The sequence below is a fragment of the Homo sapiens genome, chromosome 5 (assembly GCF_000001405.40).
Source record: "Homo sapiens chromosome 5, GRCh38.p14 Primary Assembly".
NCBI lineage: Eukaryota > Metazoa > Chordata > Mammalia > Primates > Hominidae > Homo > Homo sapiens.
The window spans coordinates 137605503-137624061 of NC_000005.10; the positions used below are offsets into that span (position 1 = coordinate 137605503).

The following is an 18559-nucleotide window of genomic DNA, read 5'->3' on the forward strand; positions in this document are numbered from 1 at the left end:
AGATAAATTATTCAGGGGAGTGCCTGGCACACGGAAGAAATTCGAGAGCTGGTAGCTGTTAAGCTATTTGTACTTCTAAATCAAACAGGGGCCTCTGGTGTGCAAGTAAGGTATTTTCCTGTGCTACAGGGCAGAACTGACTGTGAAAATCTTTGAGATCCTCTTCACAGGAAGGCAAAAAAGCTTCTAGTATGTCCCTAAGATCTGGAAATAAAGGAGGAAGACAGCTCGAGGGGCACAGATGGCTTAATGTTAAGTCTGCTCACATAACACTACACGGGGTATTTCTTTTTTAATTTCCAACTTGAAAAAAATTGCAAATTTTACACTGTTACAGGGATGGGGGTTGGAGGAAAGAGCCATAACTTGTTTCTGTTGCATGTAGTCAATTTCTACACTTTTAACAGTTGCAGCATATTCCTAGTATATAAAACTTCAAACCTCAGCCTCCGACATCTGGAACATCAGTACAATATATCGTATTTGCACTAGACAGAAAAACCCAAGGGCAAGTGCTTAAAACTGAAAGGGCAAATAAGTTTCATCCCTGGTGCCAACTCCAACTGACTGGCAGGGGCAGCCTGGTGCCTTGTCTTGCAGGGGTCAGTAAGCCAGTGCCATCGCTGATTAGTGAGTGATGTGTGCCTTAGGCTCGGAATAGGGTACCAGAGGCTTCTTGATACATTTTTTTATATCAGTAGAGTCTATGCCAGTTCTCCAGACACTTAGGAAAACCAGTAATAATGACCACATTCTGCTTAACAGTTGTGACAGCAAAGAGGGTGGCCTGAGGAGAAACACTGCAGTCAGGAGGAGGATGGCCCAATGCTTAGAGCCAATCAGGAGGAGATGGAAAACAGAGTTTGGACAATTGGAATATGATGAAAGTCATCTTAACAAATAGCCACTTTGATCAAGGCAGTCCTTAGAAGAAAAAACTTTTTTTTTTTTTTGAGACAGAGTCTTACTCTGTTGCCCAGGATGGAGTGCAGTGGTGCAATCTCAGCTCACCACAACATCTGCCTCCCCTGTTCAAGCGAAAAAAATGTTTTTAATCAGCAAATGTGGCAACGGGTTTTGCCTGAGAGAATAAAGAACCATTATCTGACAAATTTCCTAACTCTTTGCCATCCTTGTGAAAAAATTAAGACCAGATGGGGATAAGGAAAAGTGAAGACAGGTCCCTGTCACCCTCCCCAAACCTTCATGAGGACTTTGGTTTAATTTCCAAATATTTGTGTTTTTTTTTCCAGATATACTGTTGCTATTGATTTCCAGTTTAATTCCACTGTGGTCAGAGAAAGCATTCAGCATGACTTCAGCTTTTTTAAATTTATTGAGACTTATTTGATGGCCCCAAATATGGTCTGTCTTGTTGTACACATATATTGTGGTAGATGGTTAAGATGGCCATTAATTCTTTACCTCCCAATGAAAGATGGAGTCTTTTTCTCCATACCTTGAGTCTGGGCTGGCCATGTGGCTTGCTTCAGCCAATGGGACAGTAGCAAATGCAACATAAACAAAGGCTCTAAAAGTGTTTGCACATTGGGACTTGACCCCAAGACTGCCATGTGAAAAAGCCTGAGCGAACCTGCTGGAAGATGAGATGATACCCTCTCCAATAACCGGCCCACCACCAGATATTTGAGTGATCCTACATCATCCAGCCGTTAGCTGACCTGCTGGCTGAATACAGATGCATGAGCAAGCCCAGCAGAGATCAACCGAGCCACATCAGACCAAGAGAACTGCCCAGTCAATCCTCAGAATAGTGAGAAATAATCAATAGTGATTGCTTCAAGCCAGTAAGTTTTGGAGCACTTTGTTATACCACAAAAACTAACAGATATGTGAGTATATATGCATGTTATACAATACACATACACACAGACCTCAATTCCCCTTTCTCTCCTTTTTTCTACTTTGCATAGTATATACTGTGGTTGTATACTGTGGTTATGCATAGTATACACTGTGGTTGTTAATTTCACATTTAGGCTTCAGGTTATATGATATTAAGGAAGAATTGTCTCTAAACTAGAGGAGGGATAATGCCACCTAGAGATGCAGTGACTGATGACATTTGAAGCTTTCCCATCGTGGAAGAAGGGTAAGCACGTTTTAATTTTCACAGAGGATAGCTGTAACAGGTTAGAAAGGAGCCAGTTCTTGCCATGGTTGTTTAGGCGCATGGGAAGAAGGGTGTGTACGGAAGTTGAGCAGCCACATGGGAGGAATGTGGCAAACAACGAGGACGGATAGTTCCACAAGCATTCTACCCCGCTTCTATTACCAAGAAGCTAGAAAGCTAAAAACCACATTTCCAGACACATTTGCAGCGAGGGTTTCTGACTGCACTTTAGCTTCTGCTACTCAGATGCATTGAAGCGAAACAGAGTGGGCACTGAGGATTTGTGGAGTGCCCGTGTTCCTGGTGTAGACTGTGGCAAAGGTGGGGACAGGAGCTGTTTCCAGTTCTGCAGGTCCCTGCCTGGGGCAGAGGCAGCACACCGCTGGCACCCTAACTTGGCAGTATAGCTTTGAGAGCCATGGCAGCCTAGAGTGTGTTTCTTTGCCTCCCCAACAAATTCATAAGCCATTAAATATTCTGCTATATGTCCCTCTTTCTGCAACTGAACCCTGACTAGGCAAGAACCAAGTCTACATTTACCAGATTAGACTAAAATTGAAAAGTTTCTCTTCCCACAAGCCAATAAGTGGGAAACTTGTGAGACAAATTAGAACTTTATTAGAGACTGCATTTTTCTCTGCTCATATGACTATATTTTCATGTATGCCTGCCAAATACATATTATCTCATTTAATCCTTCCAACAACCCAACAAGTTAAGAACTATTGTTACCTCCATTTGAAAGATGAGGTAGCAAACTCAGAGAGACTGTGTCCAGGGTTACGCTCAGAGCCAGGCTCATAACTAGACAGTGCACCCCCAGAGCCCTCTTCACCACTTTGCTCTTTCGCCCCCGATTTTCCCCTCCCTGCTCTCTTGACCACCACTCAAGTCCTCAGAGCCCTTTGCTTCCCCCACTGTGGAAATGTGCTTGGGCATTCACACTGAGATGGGAATAACCACTGTGACTGTAACTTGGGCAGCAGGGGTGTTTTCATTTCACTAGCATCAACATCCTCCGTGGCAGTGAAATTGTATCTCCATCAGCCCTGACTTCAATGATTGAAATCCATAACTCTCCCCAGATCATCAACAGAATGTGTTTAGGTATGGGAACATCTGACAGGAAACTGAAATATTGATGAAGATAAGTTTATAATATTTTTGACAAATAAGATGCCTTCTGATACTAGATTTTAGTAGAAACAAGTTGTCAAAGGATAACCAAAAATTTGCATCAAAAAAAGATTAAAAATGAGGAAATGCTGTTTCTTCCGTTAATTTTTTCCTGTGGCTTGGGAGAATACTAGCGCCGAATGTTCACAGTGGAACAGCATCTGTAGTAGATGCCAATTAATCTTTCAGGGGAAACAAATCTGTGAATGAGAGAACATGAAATAGCTCAGAATCATAAGGAACGTGGCCTTCAACCTGAGATAGACACGAGTTCACATTCCTGTCCAAATCGTAGCTAGTTGCCGAGCCCCTGTGCAAGCTGTTTAACCTCTTGGAGCTTTGGTTCACTCATTTAAAGCGGGGGATAATAATGCCTGCCTCTTAGGATTGTCATGGGGATCACATGCTAAAGCGACAATCTGACTGTGGATTGTGGTGGTGTGTAACCCACATCCCCAAAGGCACTCACTCCTCTGGCCTGCTTAGAGTGTCATCTGCTAATACTCACAGCTGAGCTCCTCTCCAGAAACTGCCCTCTGCCAAAGGGAGCTGCCTCACCCAGTTATATGACCTGTGGGGTTTCAGGGTGGGGGGATGCACATTCAGTGACTGTTTTTTACTTGAGTCATCATTTCCATGCCATAAAAAAGCACCCTTTAAAATTACAATTCAGTGAGTTTGGGTATATTCACAAAGTTGTGCAACAACTGTCATCACTATCTCCAGAACATTTTCATCACCCCAAAAAGATATCCCAGATACCCCAAGCCCATTAGCAGCCATCCCCTATCCCCTCGCCCTCAGCCCCTGGCAACCTCTAATCTACTTGCTATCTCTATGGATTTACCTATTCTGGATTTTCATATAAATGGATGCATGAACCATGTGGCCTTCTGTGTATGACTTCTTTTACTGAGCATGTTTTCAAGGTTCCCCCATATGGCAGCATGTATCACAACTTCATTCCTTTTCACGCTAAATAATATTCCACTCTGTAAATACATGACATTTCATTCATCCATTCATCAGCTGATGAATATGTAGGGGTGTTTTTTCACTTTGGGGCTATGATGGATAATGCTGCTATGAAAAGTCATATACAAGTTTCTGTGTGGTCATGTTTTCAATTTTCTTGGGTATATACTTAGCAGTGGAATTGCTGGGTTGTATGGTAACTCTACATTTAACTTTTTGCAGAACTGCCAGTCCATGTTCCAAAGAAGGTACACCATATTATTTTCCCACTAGCAATGTATGAGGATTACAATTTCTCCATATCCTTGCCAATATTTGTTATTGTCTTTTTTATTACAGCCATCCTAGGGGGTATGAAGTGCTATCTCACTGTAGTTTTTATTTGCATTTCCCTGATGTCTAATGATGTTGAGCATCTTTTCATGTGCTTATTGGCCACTTGTATATCTTCCTTGGAAATTAAATCCTTTGCCTATTTTAATTGGGTTATTTATCTTTTAACTGTTGCATTGTAAGAATTATTTATATTTATGGATACTACACCCTTATCAGATATATGATTTGCAAATATTTTCTCCCATTCTGTGGGTTTTCTTTCTACTTTATTGATGGTATCATTTGAAGCACTGAATTTTTTAATTTTGATGAAGTCTAATTTACCTATTTTTTCTTTAGCTGCCTGGACTTTTGGTGTCAATCACTAATTTTGCAAAGATACAAAGGGTTGTCTCCCTTGTGTCAACTCAGAACAACACTGAAAGGCCATCCAATTCCAGAGCTCCCCATGGAATTTTCTGAGGCCTCCGCTGCAGCTTCTTCACCCTCTGCCCTCTCCTGCTTCCCTCATCCCTTCATGGGTGTTATTGCCAAAAGCACTAACCAGTAATATTCTGCATGAAAATCTCAGCATCTCAGTCTGTTTCTTGGGGTACCCAACCTTAGACACTTTTGATGTTCCCTCACGGACCTCAAGACAGAGGGTCACCTCCTCACCATGGTTTCAAGTCCTTTTGTGACATGGCCCCTGCCCACTCTCTGGCCGCATCTCTCTCCACACGTTCTCCTCATTCACTATGATTCAGCCACACTGAACTGTTTGTGCTTTCCCATAAAGGCCATCTCTCTAGCCACCAGGCCTCTGCACTTGGAATTCCTTCCTCCTTCCTCCCTAACACCTACATCTATCCCCTCACCTGGTTGACACCCAACGTCCATCCAAAATTATGACTCAGTTTGTCATCATTTCCACCAGGACACTTGCCCTGACTCTCTCAGTGCTTCCACAGGCCCCTTCACTCCCCAACCCTTATGCTTACCATACCATATTATAATTCCTTGTTTATGACTTTGTCTCCACAATTTGACATGAACCCCAGGAGGACAGGGATCCTCTCATTTACATCCTATCTCTAGAGCTGGCACAGAGCCTGACACTCATGAAGCACTCAAAAATATGCAGTGAATGCATGACACATGCAAAGTACAGAAGCAGCTCAGAGAAGGTGGCAACTAGCTAGGGGCTGCTTCGTGAAGGGGGTAGCCCCTGCCCAGGGCTTCACAGTGGACAGGAGTCCCCCAGGCTGGCAGTGGGAGGGCTCCATGACACCACCCCAGAGTTCTGGAGCTCCCTTTGGCACCCCCGTGATGTATAGCCGGCATTACAGCAAAGCCTAATTCTCTCATTCACCCCACCCATCTCCACCTGGGCCTCCCGGAGTCCACCTGGGGCTGGCCTGCCTGCATTCACAGGCTCCTGGTGCCTAGCAGTTTCCCAGATCCAGATAGAAAATTTCTGCTAGAAGCTGCTAGAAATCAAACTACCCTTTCTAGGACATGCATAAAGCCTCATCTGGCTGCCTAGAGATGGTTTTTTGGGCGTCCTTATCTGGACTCTGCAGCAGTTGCCGGCATCAGGACAGACAGTTCCTTAGTTAATCATTCAAATAGGAGGTCTGAGTTACATTAAAATGATGGGATCTGTAGCTGGAAAATACATTTGGAATGCCCTATGAAGCCTCAGCCTTCCCCTGCACACTCTCACCTCAGATCCAGGCTGCTGCTTGCAGGTGGAGGTGAGGCCCAGAACGAGGGAAAGGCCCGCAGGGGGCTGTTAGCTCCCCTAGAGTGCGGGCTTCCTCACCCTTGGAGTGCGCTGCCTGTGCGGACCTGTTTGTCCTGGGAGGGCCTTTTATCACCAGTGTCACACTACTAGTAATTCACAGGCAGAGATTCAAATCCACGCTGTCCGATGCAGAGCCCGTGCCCTTAACCATTATGCTCTATTGTCAAATGATGTTTTGAGACTAGATCTTCCTGTTCTCACTCTACCCTTTCCATGCTGCTTCACATCCTCCTTATGAGATGGAGGGCAAGGCCCAACCCCCTCCAGCCCAGATATTCCTCCCTCCCTACTCCATGCCAAGGCTAGAGTCAGGCCCACACCTGGGGGGCACAGACCTGGGACAGCCCCTTGGCAGCAAGACTGTTCACATCAGTTCTGTGACCTCCTTCAGCTCAGCTCAGCTGAGGACACCACTGGATGGGCTGTCATTAAATCTGAGGACATGCTGGCGGGCAAGAGGACAAGGTTGTTGGAAAAATTGCCTCCAAGAGGCCAACACCAAATCTCACCCACCTCCACCTCCCAGTTTGTGGCTCAGAAAGATTTATGGTGCTGCACAGATGGGTCATTCTTGAGATAAAGTTCATAGATCTTGCAGCTGACAGGTCTTTTCAATCAGTGCTTCAGGAAAACTTCCACAGCTGATAAATGAGCCGTCACTAAAGCCTCAGCAATGGGCTCCTAAATGTCTCCATGGCTTAGGATTTCTCATTTATCCTGTAATAGGGACATCCACTGTTGATGCCAAATAGAGCAAGGAAGAAGGCTGGAGTGCAGTTGTGAGAGGAAGCCTTCCCTGCCCAGCCCTATTCTGGGACCCCACTCTGCATCCCCTCAGTAGATGCCAAGTGCACAGGGAGCATCCTTAGCACTCACTGACAAGAAGCCCTGCATACAGTCAGTACCCAGCCAAAATAACCTGCAGGGCAGATGCTAGAGGATGGACCAAAAAGACCTGGACTTTTGGATCCAAGAAAGCAAAGTCCAAGCTGAGTGGTGGAGAGGAGGCCACATGGCATTTGGAGACATAAGGCTACAGGGACTCTCCACTATGGCCTCATTGGTAGTTGACCAGCTAATGTCCTTCTTTCTCCCAAGGCAAACTCTGAGTTTGTTTGGAGCAGCAGCATGCCCAAGTAAAAGTATTCATCTGCCCCAACTCACTTGCAGCTGGGGCACTATGAGAATGTAAAGGGTGCTGTATTAGGGATTTCTGAAAAGGTTTTGCTTTCCTGTCACAGGCACTCTCTTCCACCTTCCCCTCCCCTTCTTTTTCATCCTGTTGTGCAAATGTCAGAATACCTATGGAGCACCTATCTCACAACATGCTAAGGATGGAAGAACAAGAAGACAGCAGGACTTGGGCACTGGGGAGCTGCTGTGCCAGCCCTGGAAAGCCAGCCTCTGGACCTGTGGTTATGTGAGCGAAGTAGCCCACTCTTTGGTTAAGCCACTGCAGTCATTTTGCTGTCACCTGGAACCAAATACAATCCTGGGTGATAGAATCCAAGCCTGGAGAATTTCATTGACCTCCTTAACCTCTCTTGAGCTTCAGCTTCCTTATCTATATAAAGGGAATAAGATGATAATATTCGTTCCCCCCAGTAAACTACCCACTATGCACAGTCACCATGCAGAGTGTTTAGCCTGTGCCACCCATGAATTGAGAAAGTGACAACAGGCAGAGACAGTGCACACAATAATACCTGCCAAGGCTACCCCACAGGACTTCTGAATCAGATGAGACCACATGGGAGATTCCTTAGTCATGTCCACACTTACACACATGCCTACCAAAGCCCACGTTCTCTGGTGTGCACAGAGTTGAAACCAAGAAGAGGCCCTACTCTAAAAGCAGGAAGTAAGCTCCTGCAACTCATGCCTTCCACCCCCTCAGAGGAAGAAGGAAAGAAAAAGGGATTTCATCACACTGTGCCAAATAGAGAGCAGCCAAGTGGCCACAGGTGAAACCAGGCCCTGCCAGATGGCTCCACTTGGGGCAACCTTCCGAAATAAGATTCTGCTTATCAAAGATCTAATGTTTTTTGAAAAAGAAAAGAGGTCCTAGGTGTATCTCCTGGCCCAGACAAGACCCTGGGACAGAGAGCTCGTCCTTTGTTGGTGCACCTTCCGTCCACACACACTCCAGCCCCTCGAGCATGCACGCAATCAGCACATCTCCAGCACCAGCACCCACCACCAGAGACTCAGAGTGCCTCATGCTGGAGGCCACTTCTGCCAGGCTGTGCCTGACTCCTGGGGCCTGAAGTGGCTGCCTTCTATGTTTTAGGGCCTTTTCATGTTCATCTCCACAAGCTCACAGACGTGGTGCATCATCCATATTTTATAGATCAGGGCCCTGGCTCTGAGAGGGGAGGAGACTCCTCAAACCCACCTGATCACCCTGCCTGAGCTCAGGCTTGAAGTCTCCTGACTCTAAAACTTCCCATCTGAACCGCCATGCTGACCCGTCCTCTGCCAGAAATGACTCTTGCTCTCTCTGTCTTACGCTCTCGCCCTCTCATTCTCTCTCTCTGGGTCTCTGCCTCTGTTTCTATATGGATGATATCTCTTCTTCCCTGGCCATGTGTGTGTCTTTTTTATGCTTCTGCCTCCCTGTGTTTCTGTGTGTGTCCATCTCTCACATTACGTCTCTTGCTCTGTGTGAGTCTCCCCCCGTTTCCACCGGTCTCTGTGTGTCTCTGTCTTTCCTGTTGCTCCCAGTGACTCTCGCTTGGGGGCATGTGTTTCCCCTCCTCACCCACCCCTGCGCCCGCAGCAGACCAGACTGTACCTGTGTCTTTACCTGATCATGTTCTTTAGAAACTCAAACTTCCATGTCCACAGGGACCACCTGTTCTGTTAGCAGTTGCATCTCAAGTTCCCAGCAACACACAACATAGATGATGGATATATTCTTGTTGAAGGAGTAACTGTTGAACACACTGAAAAGGGAGAATGAAAGACTCCCAACACTGGGAAGGACACTGGGGTCTTTCCCAGAGGCAGCTGGGAACTAGGAATGGGAAGGAAAGAAAAACCGAGGAAAGGAAACAGGTCTAAAGCCAAACTTTCCAGCCTTTAGCTTACAATTAGGAGATTCATCAAAACATTTTCATCATGTTCACTGGCAGGGTCCAGGGGTCTAATAGATTAACAACACGTGCAGCATAGCAGTCAAAAACTACTACCACGGAAGATATGGGTTCAAATCCTTATTCCCCTCATCTCTCAGCCTCTCTGAGCCCCATCTCCTCGCCAGTCACATAGGAGCAAGAACAGGGCCTGGTGAGTGCAGTAAATGCTCATAAGGACACACATTCCTTTATTTGACAGACAAGGAACCAGAGAGGGAAAAGGATGTGCTGCAGGTCACACAGCCAAGAACAAGGCCTCCTTCCACCCTAGGCCAATAGATGCCCTGACACCTGCTAAGGAGAGTTGCAGCCTCCAGCAACCCTGGGAGCCTGGAGCAACCTTTGAAGCTGGAGTGGCCACAGGGTGGGAATCTCAGAGAGACCAGCCCTGCCATGATGGGGGCCACCCCTCCTCTCTGTTCCACCCCGAGGGTCATGGCCCTCAGGCCTGCAGTCGCTGCCTTTCCTCAGCCCCAGAGCCCCCCGCCCCCCCTCCCCAGAGGCAGGTAGGCAGGCATAGGCCCTGGAGCCTCCACTGGACTGATGGGAAACCTGGCTCGGCCTCAGGCACTAGTGGGCAGCTTTGGAGCTGCAAGTAGTCTAGAGAGAAAGCCACATCAAAACTACCTAAGGACAAGAGCCAGGTGCCTCTCTACAGCTCCAAGCCCCAGTCTCCCAACGTGCAAATACATGGGCTGCACCTGACAATGTCTAAAATCCCAGTCAGGGGCCCCTTCCCATGGGCACTGACCCTGGAGCAGTAGGAGAAGCTGTCTGAGCAGAAAGGGATAGACAATGGGGAATGCAGACTCCTATGTGAAAATGCAAACAGAACAGAATATATTTTTATTAAAGTAAAATAGCTTATTAGGGTCAAAAGACACTATTTGTAAACTATAGAAACATAAGTTGGTAGTAAAACCACCAAATATTAAATTACTCTGAAACTTCTCCTGTAAGGAGAAACCAGGCCAACAGCATAGTGGGGGAAATATGTGCGCCCTGAGACAAAGTCCTCACTAGCCATCAAGCCCTCACTAGCCATCAGCCCCTCACCGGGCCTCTCCAAGGCCGGGCGAGGCCCAGAGCATATTGGCCCCAGGGGGGTCTCCAGCCTAGCTCTGGGATCTGCTTCCCTGCCCACCCTTGAGGGCCAGACGTTGGTGACCTCCTAGCTGCAGAATGCAGTCACAGGGTATGGTCTCTGGGATTTGAAGATGACACAACTCAGCAAGCAGCTTCAGCAGGAGGAGGGGGCCTGCACCTCTTCTCAAGGGTCTGTTAATTAACTCCAGTAATCCTGTGAATTAGGCAGAGCGCCATGTGGTCATTTGCCTCCATGAGGTGTTATGGAGATTAACTGGAATTAAAGCATTCAGCACAGGGCCTGGCACACATCAAATGCAAAATAAATGCTGGCTGCTATGATTATTGAAACAACCGCAGCCTGAACCCTCTTCTCAGGCTGATGCTCAAATTCAATTATGGGTGAAAAGAGTTAGTAGGTTTCATCCAGGTGTGCTCCGCCTGCTCACAACACACCCTCAGATAAATGAATTCACCTTTGTGGGCCTCCTCTGTCCAGGGGCACAAATTCCTGCCCACCTGCTCGGGGTTTGTGGGGCTCAAAGAGGCCTGACCTCATTCTTCTGAACAGTCTAACTGCTCAACAGGAGCAGAGGATGAGTGGTGAGAGATGGGAGAACAGAGGCTCCAGCGGAGGCCAGCCCAGGAGAGGGGAGAGGAGTTGGAGGAAGGAAAGATACTGCCACCCGAGCCCTACTCACATGCCTTTCTTTGCTCTCCCATCAATTGTTCCTGAGTGCCAGGCACCAGGAGTGCACAGTAAGTCAAGCAGGCTGTGCCCTCTTGGAGCTCAAAATTTACTTTCCCAAATATGGGGAGGAATCTGGCTAAGGGTTCCCACTGGTCCCTTGAGTTTCTCCAGCTTGAAGATAAGTCCAACACCTCTGTGCTGTCCATCTGTCACCTGGTACAGGCCAGAGCTACTGACATCCCAAAAGGGCCTGGGACTGGTTTGTTAACTAGAGAGGGAGCTAAGGTCTCTGAGCAGGAGGCTTTGAGAAGTTACAGCTGAGCCAGGCATCCACCCCCTCCCACTTCATACAAGGCTTCCCTCCCAAATGGTGATGCCCAGCTGAGCTAGCCATCTTCCCCACCAACCCTGACTCTCAGTGGTTCCCAGTGATTATCTGGCAGTTGTGCACACCACTTAATACCCCCTGGAGGGACTGTCCTCTCTTGGCCTCATTGAAGGTCTTTGTGGGTCTGGCACTCTGCTAGGGTGAGTGATGGAAACCAAGGAACCCAGATATTGTCCAGTAGATCTTAAAATTTTTTTTAATCCAAAGACATACAGGAATAAGTCTGTCCTTTTCATGTTTGAGACATAGCAGAGAGACTGGACTATAGAAATGAAATACTGAGAAAAGTTCACACAGTTCAGCTTTTATTAAAATTAAAGGATGGGAAATTAGAACATGATTCCTGTTAAAATAATACATTTGAGGAAATGTTTCTTCAGCTATTGCTGTAACTGATCAAGCATGTGACAAGTGTTCTTTTACAAGATATACAGTCCCTAACAGCCACGCAGAGAACACCAGATCGAGGATCTTACCTATGCAATATGTTGTACGGGGTGTCAGTGATCAAGTCTGACTGGCTATGACAACCACAGGGACAGAGCACCCACACAGACATACACATTCAGTGTCTTCAGTTTTCTTTCAACGAAAGCATTTTACACATAATATGCAAATTAAACAAGAAGTACAACAAGGGTCCTCTATTGCCACTGAAAATGAGGGGAGGGGAGGATGGGGGAGCGAATAATTTACAATCTCATAACCAAACATGGCACTAGGGTGATTTGATGCTGCAAATGCCACAGTCCTGTGCATTCCTGCCATGGCTGATGCTATATCCATGAGTCACTGAGTCCCATGACGAAGGCTGCACAGGGGCTATGAGGCTGTAATTATCCACTACAGAAGAAATCTCTTCCATTCCCAAATGCTGGAAGTGCTGCTGGCTCTCCTGCTTGGTCAGTAGAAACACAGCACAGCTGAACATGAGGGGCTTAGGACTCTAAATAGTGCAAACGCTTAAAAAAATTACATTCTAACCTCCTTGCTTCTCCAGGCAAACAGAGCCTTTAAAAACTCCAACTAACTGGAATATGAGTTTGCTCAGCCTCCCAACTTGATCCAGCTAGGTGCAAATGGGGAGCATGGAGGCAATTTAAATGGCACCTGTCCCAACAATAATAATAATAATAATAAATTTTAAAAACCATGATGCAAATGGCAGATAAATACACAAAACAGAGCCTGGAGTAGAGACATAGCTCAAGAAGCAAGTTGTAAGTGTAGTGTGAGCACCTGCAAAGCATATGCTTAACACACAGGGATCATGAGGATTGACCCCTCTTTTAAAGGTTAGAGACAAGATGCTCCCAAAAAGGGCATCATCCAGCAGCAAAGGCCTCAAGCTATTGGAAGCTTCAGATCAACAAGGAGATAGAAGAGAATAAGGAATGGTCGGCTGGACCTAGGACACTATGGGAGTATGTGCTGGGGGGGCAGGCCTTTCCCTGAGGCTTCTCCATGCCACAGGGTACCAGGCTCAGTGCCCGTCAGTGGGAGCCACCACGAGACAGCCCGGCCTCACCCCCACAGAAAGCAGACTCCAAAAAAAAAAAAAAAGACACAATCAATACAGACGGGCAAGTGCTGAGTCGAACATAACATCAGTCCCTAGCAATTCAAGAAACACCAGTGACTGCGTTTTAAAATTCAGCAGACTCCCTTGAATATGGTATTTTTAAAAAAAAAAAAAAGGCTCATCTACCTGGAGCTACTGAAAAATATGTTTCTGAAGGGTGAGAAACAAAAGGAAGAGAGCTACAGGCATGAACTACGTTTGAGAGTGAATGATGCAAAGAACACAACATTTCATTATCATGGACAATAAAAAGCGATTCAAACTCTTGAAAAAAATATCTTATAAAAATATCTACGTTAAAATTTTAGCCTAAAAGCTATAGCTTCAATTTTATAAAAAGGCAATCTTTGAAAGGATCTGGCTCAGAAATATACAAACATTACACAACAGATATCAAAGTAAGACAGCTCAAAAAGCATCTTAGGGGATATTGCAACTGGCTTGTCGGGAACTAGAATTAAGTATTCTTATTGCATAGCAGAAAATGAGGTCAGTTTTATTTGCATAATACTGCAACTTTGTAGATGGAGAGATGCCATTGGGTACTTATGAGAAATAACTTTGGAATTCAGAATCTGACTTCTACATTGTTCAAATCAGTATCCAAGTGGCGTCTCGGCTGCTTCTAACCTTGGGCCTCAATTCCATTTCACCACCGCAATCAGATGACAGATATGCCACTGGCAAAGCTGCATTCACAAGCAGCCGTGGCCACCCTAAGTGGGGCAGTAAGAGGCTTCATCTACCACGTGACCAGCACAAACTAGAAAATAGCCTGCTGTGTCCACTGTGGAAAGAGAATCGTACCTGGTGATGAAGAGATAGCAGGTTTTGGTGGCATCTGTGGGCAGCTAGAGCAGATTGGCTTTGGTGATGACGTACCAGTGTTCTGGTCCCCGTGAAAAAGGATACATGAGGATGGAGTGCACATGGCCTTGGCAGCACGCCCAGTAGAGGCAGTGCTTTGTAGGGAGGGAGACATGAGGTGAAACCAATTGCAAAAATCCAAAAACAGAAAACATGACTGGCTAGCTTTCAGTGGAGGGACCCTTCCCCGGAAGACGACACATAAAAGTAGCCTCTCCCGCATGAAAGTCTAGCTTCTCAGTGGTGGGGGAGGGGCAGGGAATTCACCTATCATCTGAAATTGAGAGCTTCTGTGAATGGCATACATCAGATCCCAACCCCAGCCTCATCCCCATCACACAGACACACCGAAACAAGTCTCAAAATTTCCTCAGAGAAGGAGAAAGGACATTTCTCATTCCATCAGCTTCCAACCCACAGCCAGGTAGAGTTATGAAGCCACAGTCATCCCCACTTCATAGTGAGACCAGAGCACTCAACTAAAACATGCCTTGCTTCCTTTGGAGACATTTCTTCCAGGTCCCCCAAAGCTGGATATTTTAGCCTCTTCTGAAGGCTTCTAAAAATTCTGGGTACCTTGTTGTTCTCCAAGCATCTTGTTGAAGTAACATGTGCTTAACATCAGAAAGAGAAGTTTTGTCTTTAGGAGAGTTGCACATTTAGGGCACAATAAATATACAGTAAATACACAAAGTGGCTCACTGGCTGGGAAGACTTCGGGGTTTCTAACTGCAGGGGCTGGGGGATGCCAATCTCCTGCAGCACCTGCTTGGAAGTAGCCCAGTCGTATCAGAAGTCCAACATCAGGATTTATAAAGTTCCTTGGCTTCCTGTAGGTGGATTCTCAAAGTAGGGAGGGTGTCCCAGACTGCAAGGTATGAGACTATTCTCCAGACACAAGACTTCCCCTGCTTATGCCAGAAATTTCAGCATGAGCAATTTGCTAGTTTAGGAACAGCACAACTTTAAGGTTTTTTAAATACAAATTACTCCATGCCCCCTCAAATGCCCGCTCCTCAAGATGCTTGAAGTTCTATTGTTAATAATTTTTACCTGTGAATTAGCAAAGCTCTCACCAAGCTCCCTTTTTAAAATGCAAGCACATCTTAGGAAGCCTCAAATCCAAGGCCCACTGATATCTCCTACCTCACAGGGAAAGCAGTAGTGGGGTTCTTGGGGGTTGGGGAGAGGGTGCACACCCTGGAATAGGGGGAAAGCACAAGAAAAAGAAGACAAGGACATTAGACAGACTTGACCACTGTCACAAAGTGCCAAGGGCCAGCTCTAGTGGTATATTCCTTTGAAGCCATCCAATGTCCATCTGAATCACACACGACCCCATCCAACACAGGCACAAATCTATCTTTGGGTCTGGAGGAGGGTGACCTCTTATTTATCCTCCAGACCAGAACACTTCTGAGTAAAATGGGGTGCTGTGAATAATTAAACTGGGATAATAAGTATAAATGGGGACTGTCCTGTCCTGGGAAAACCTAAAAGTAGGACCCTCTCTGAGACCATTATAGGCAGGAACTGAATCCTTACCACTTTGGTTTTTTGTTTTTTTCCTGTTTTTGTTTTGTTTTGTTTTGTTTTTCAGTGTTACCCGAGGCTTCTCTGAAGAGCTAGTTTTCCCAGCTGAAGAGACATAACACCTCCCAGGCCTGGAATCTATGACATCAAAGACCAATGGCCTAAACCTGAAGACTGGGCAGTTCTCATCTGCTTCCTGTAGGAGAACTCAAGGAAAAACAGTGAGCTGAGAAGCACAGGGAACCCATTTGTCCCTTATTCTAGCACACAGAGGACACGGTGCAGCTTCGAGAATTTTCCAGCTCTTCTGCAGACAAAGTCACAGTAGTTAAAGTACATAAGTGGGTGTGGCCAGAGAACTGCCCCTCTCACTGGTTATTTCTGGACATTCCCAGACTGTCCAACTGGACCTTCAGAAGAAAGCAGCTTTAGTAGTCTCAGGGTCCCCATGGGACAAATCCAGAAGAGAGGTCTCTGTGACTTGATTTTTAACACAGCGAAAGGATCAGTAGTAAAGAAATCCAGTAGACTGTCACACACGCTCACCCCCCAACTTAGAGAAACATAGAGAAACACCATGGTCTACACACACACACACACACACACACACTCCAGGGTCTGTATTGTCCCTGTAGAAACACCAAAACAAAGCCCAAAGGTGCTGCCTGGGGATGTCAAGACCCCCCTTGCTCAGGGCATAGGCCAGAGCACCTCAGGGGAACGGGGGTGGGTAATGGTGTCCACACTGCGATGAACAACACCAGTCTGCCAAGTCAGAGGAGAGCGGTTCTCACAGCAGCACAGACCCTCCCAAGCAAGTTGAATCCAGTCACCAAGGTCCTGCTGTTCAGAGTCACAGGCAGCACCTGCTCCTTCCTCCACCTCCTGGCAGTAGGAGTTTGGGTCACAAGGACTTGTGAATCACGGCAACACCTAATAAGAAAGGGGGAGAAAGTTATCATCTTAGCTTCTCCAAAATTACTCAGAGTCCCAGTGAGTTCATGAATCCAAGATATCCTGAGTCACAGCCAAGGGAAATGTGTGCAATTTTTATCCTAATATTGAAGTGGACTCAGGCTGCTAGCAGCTGGCTGTTCCCCACTCCAACAGCCAAGTCCTGGCAAGACACTTGAACCTACGAGCACAGTCCCTCAAACACCACTGACTAGTGGCCTCACCCTGTGTCATCACATGGACTCACTGTGGTGACTCCCATCCCCAGCCCTAGCACCCAGCCCAACAATGCTCAGCGCCCAGGGGCAGCTATGCAGTTCTAAATTTGAATCACTGTAAGAGAAGCAATGGGTGATTCATCTCTACTTTTAGAAGACACTGGAATGAAGCGGAAAGTACAGCAGGCTGCCTTCATGGGAGCAAGAAAGACTGAATTCCATTCCTAGCTCTGCCACCAGTCAACCTGCACTATGGCCTTTGGCAAGTTCTTTGACCTCTTTAGGCTCAGTTCCCACACAAATGTCATCTAAGAGACCCTGCCAGTGTGACAATCTCGACTTTGATAAATGCTCCAGACATGTATGCTATGTTACTGTTTTAGTCCGAGTGAACCATGCTCAGCACCTAACTATAAATCCACGCATGACCCAAAATCTCACTGTAAGGGACTGAGGCTACATGGCAGATATTACAGGTTGATTCCGTCAACATCCTTCCTACTTGCTATCCTCGACTACAGCCACCAGCAAGTTGCAAGCTCAGGTTCCCAGACTGCCTGGCAGCTAGATGTGCCACGTGACCCAGTGCTGGCCACTAAGACTGTAAAGGCAAGTGTGCCAGTGTTGCAACGCTGGCTTTGTTCTTGTTGTGACTGGAATGCTCACGCAAGGCCAAGGGGAGGCAGCAGCCCTTGATAAAGCTGGCAGAATAGAAAAGAGAAGAGAAACCTGGTTCTGTCAGTCTGAGCCCCCAGGCCAACCTTGGATTTCTTTCTACTTGAGACAAATACACTCACTTCCTTATTTAGGAAAGTATCTGTCAGGGTTTCTGGTGCCTGTTGCTAAATGAAATCCTAACTTACAGGTGTTTACAGGCAGGATATTACTGCAGCCTTATTTTAACATAGTCCCACAACTATGAAATGTTCTGATTGAAGATGAGATTGAGAGAACATGGCTAAAATCAAGCCAGGATACCCCACTGGAGATATTCTGCTAAGACATCTATTTCCTGTTTATTCCTGGCTAAAGGTGCAGACACAGAAGCTTCAAGGCAGGCAGAACCTGAGTCCAGGTGCCTGGTCTTGACAGCATCTTACTTGAATCTCAGACATCTCTTTCAGAAGGTAGCTTTTTTTTCTTGAAAGCAGGCTCCTGTGTTGCTTTTTCATATAACCTTTATCTTAATAATAAAAGTAATATATTCTCATTATGGGAAATCTGGAAAATGCAGAACACAAAGAAAAAATCTTTAATCCCTTCACACAAAGAAAACCACCACTGTCTTTTTGGAATACTTTCTAGCATCTAACAATAATCACAATCATTTACTGCATGGTGTCTAATGCCAGGCAGGCATTGTGCTTAGCTCTTCACAAGTATTACTGCATTTCATTCTCACAGCACCCTAAAAGGCTTAGTCTAATTTTATTCCCATTTTACAAATAAGACAACAGGGGTTCAGTATGATAGAATACCTGGCCCGGAGACCCAGGGCTAGTGGCAGAGCTGGGATTCAAATTCATATCTGACTCCAATATCCATCTGTAGAAGAAGCAGCAGCTATTCAACCCCCACTCCCACTACCACCAATACAGGACTATATGCGTGAGTTCACAAGGTTCATACAACTTTGCATCCTTTTTTAACCTAACAGGCTATTACAAATGTTTTCTCATAACATTAAAAATCCATA

At 46.2% G+C, this 18559-nt stretch overlaps 1 protein-coding gene across 3 annotated transcripts in view, besides 2 other annotated features; it reads right to left on the reverse strand.

Annotated features, from left to right (window-relative positions):
- Positions 8328-8397: an enhancer, noted in NCBI's record as "active region_23182". NCBI's record gives its function as "activates an Ori minimal core promoter by ATAC-STARR-seq in GM12878 lymphoblastoid cells {active_cell/tissue: GM12878}" and the evidence as "EXISTENCE:reporter gene assay evidence [ECO:0000049][PMID:35858748]".
- The window catches only part of KLHL3 (kelch like family member 3), a 118590-nt gene continuing 112028 nt past the window's right edge, over positions 11998-18559 (reverse strand). For all 3 annotated transcript variants that reach the window (NM_017415.3, NM_001257194.1, NM_001257195.2), the window contains one exon: positions 11998-16624. In NM_017415.3, the coding sequence (NP_059111.2) occupies positions 16596-16624 (29 nt within the window). In that variant the 3' untranslated portion in view covers positions 11998-16595. The remainder of the gene's footprint in view (positions 16625-18559) is intronic.
- Positions 17417-17466: an enhancer, noted in NCBI's record as "active region_23183". NCBI's record gives its function as "activates an Ori minimal core promoter by ATAC-STARR-seq in GM12878 lymphoblastoid cells {active_cell/tissue: GM12878}" and the evidence as "EXISTENCE:reporter gene assay evidence [ECO:0000049][PMID:35858748]".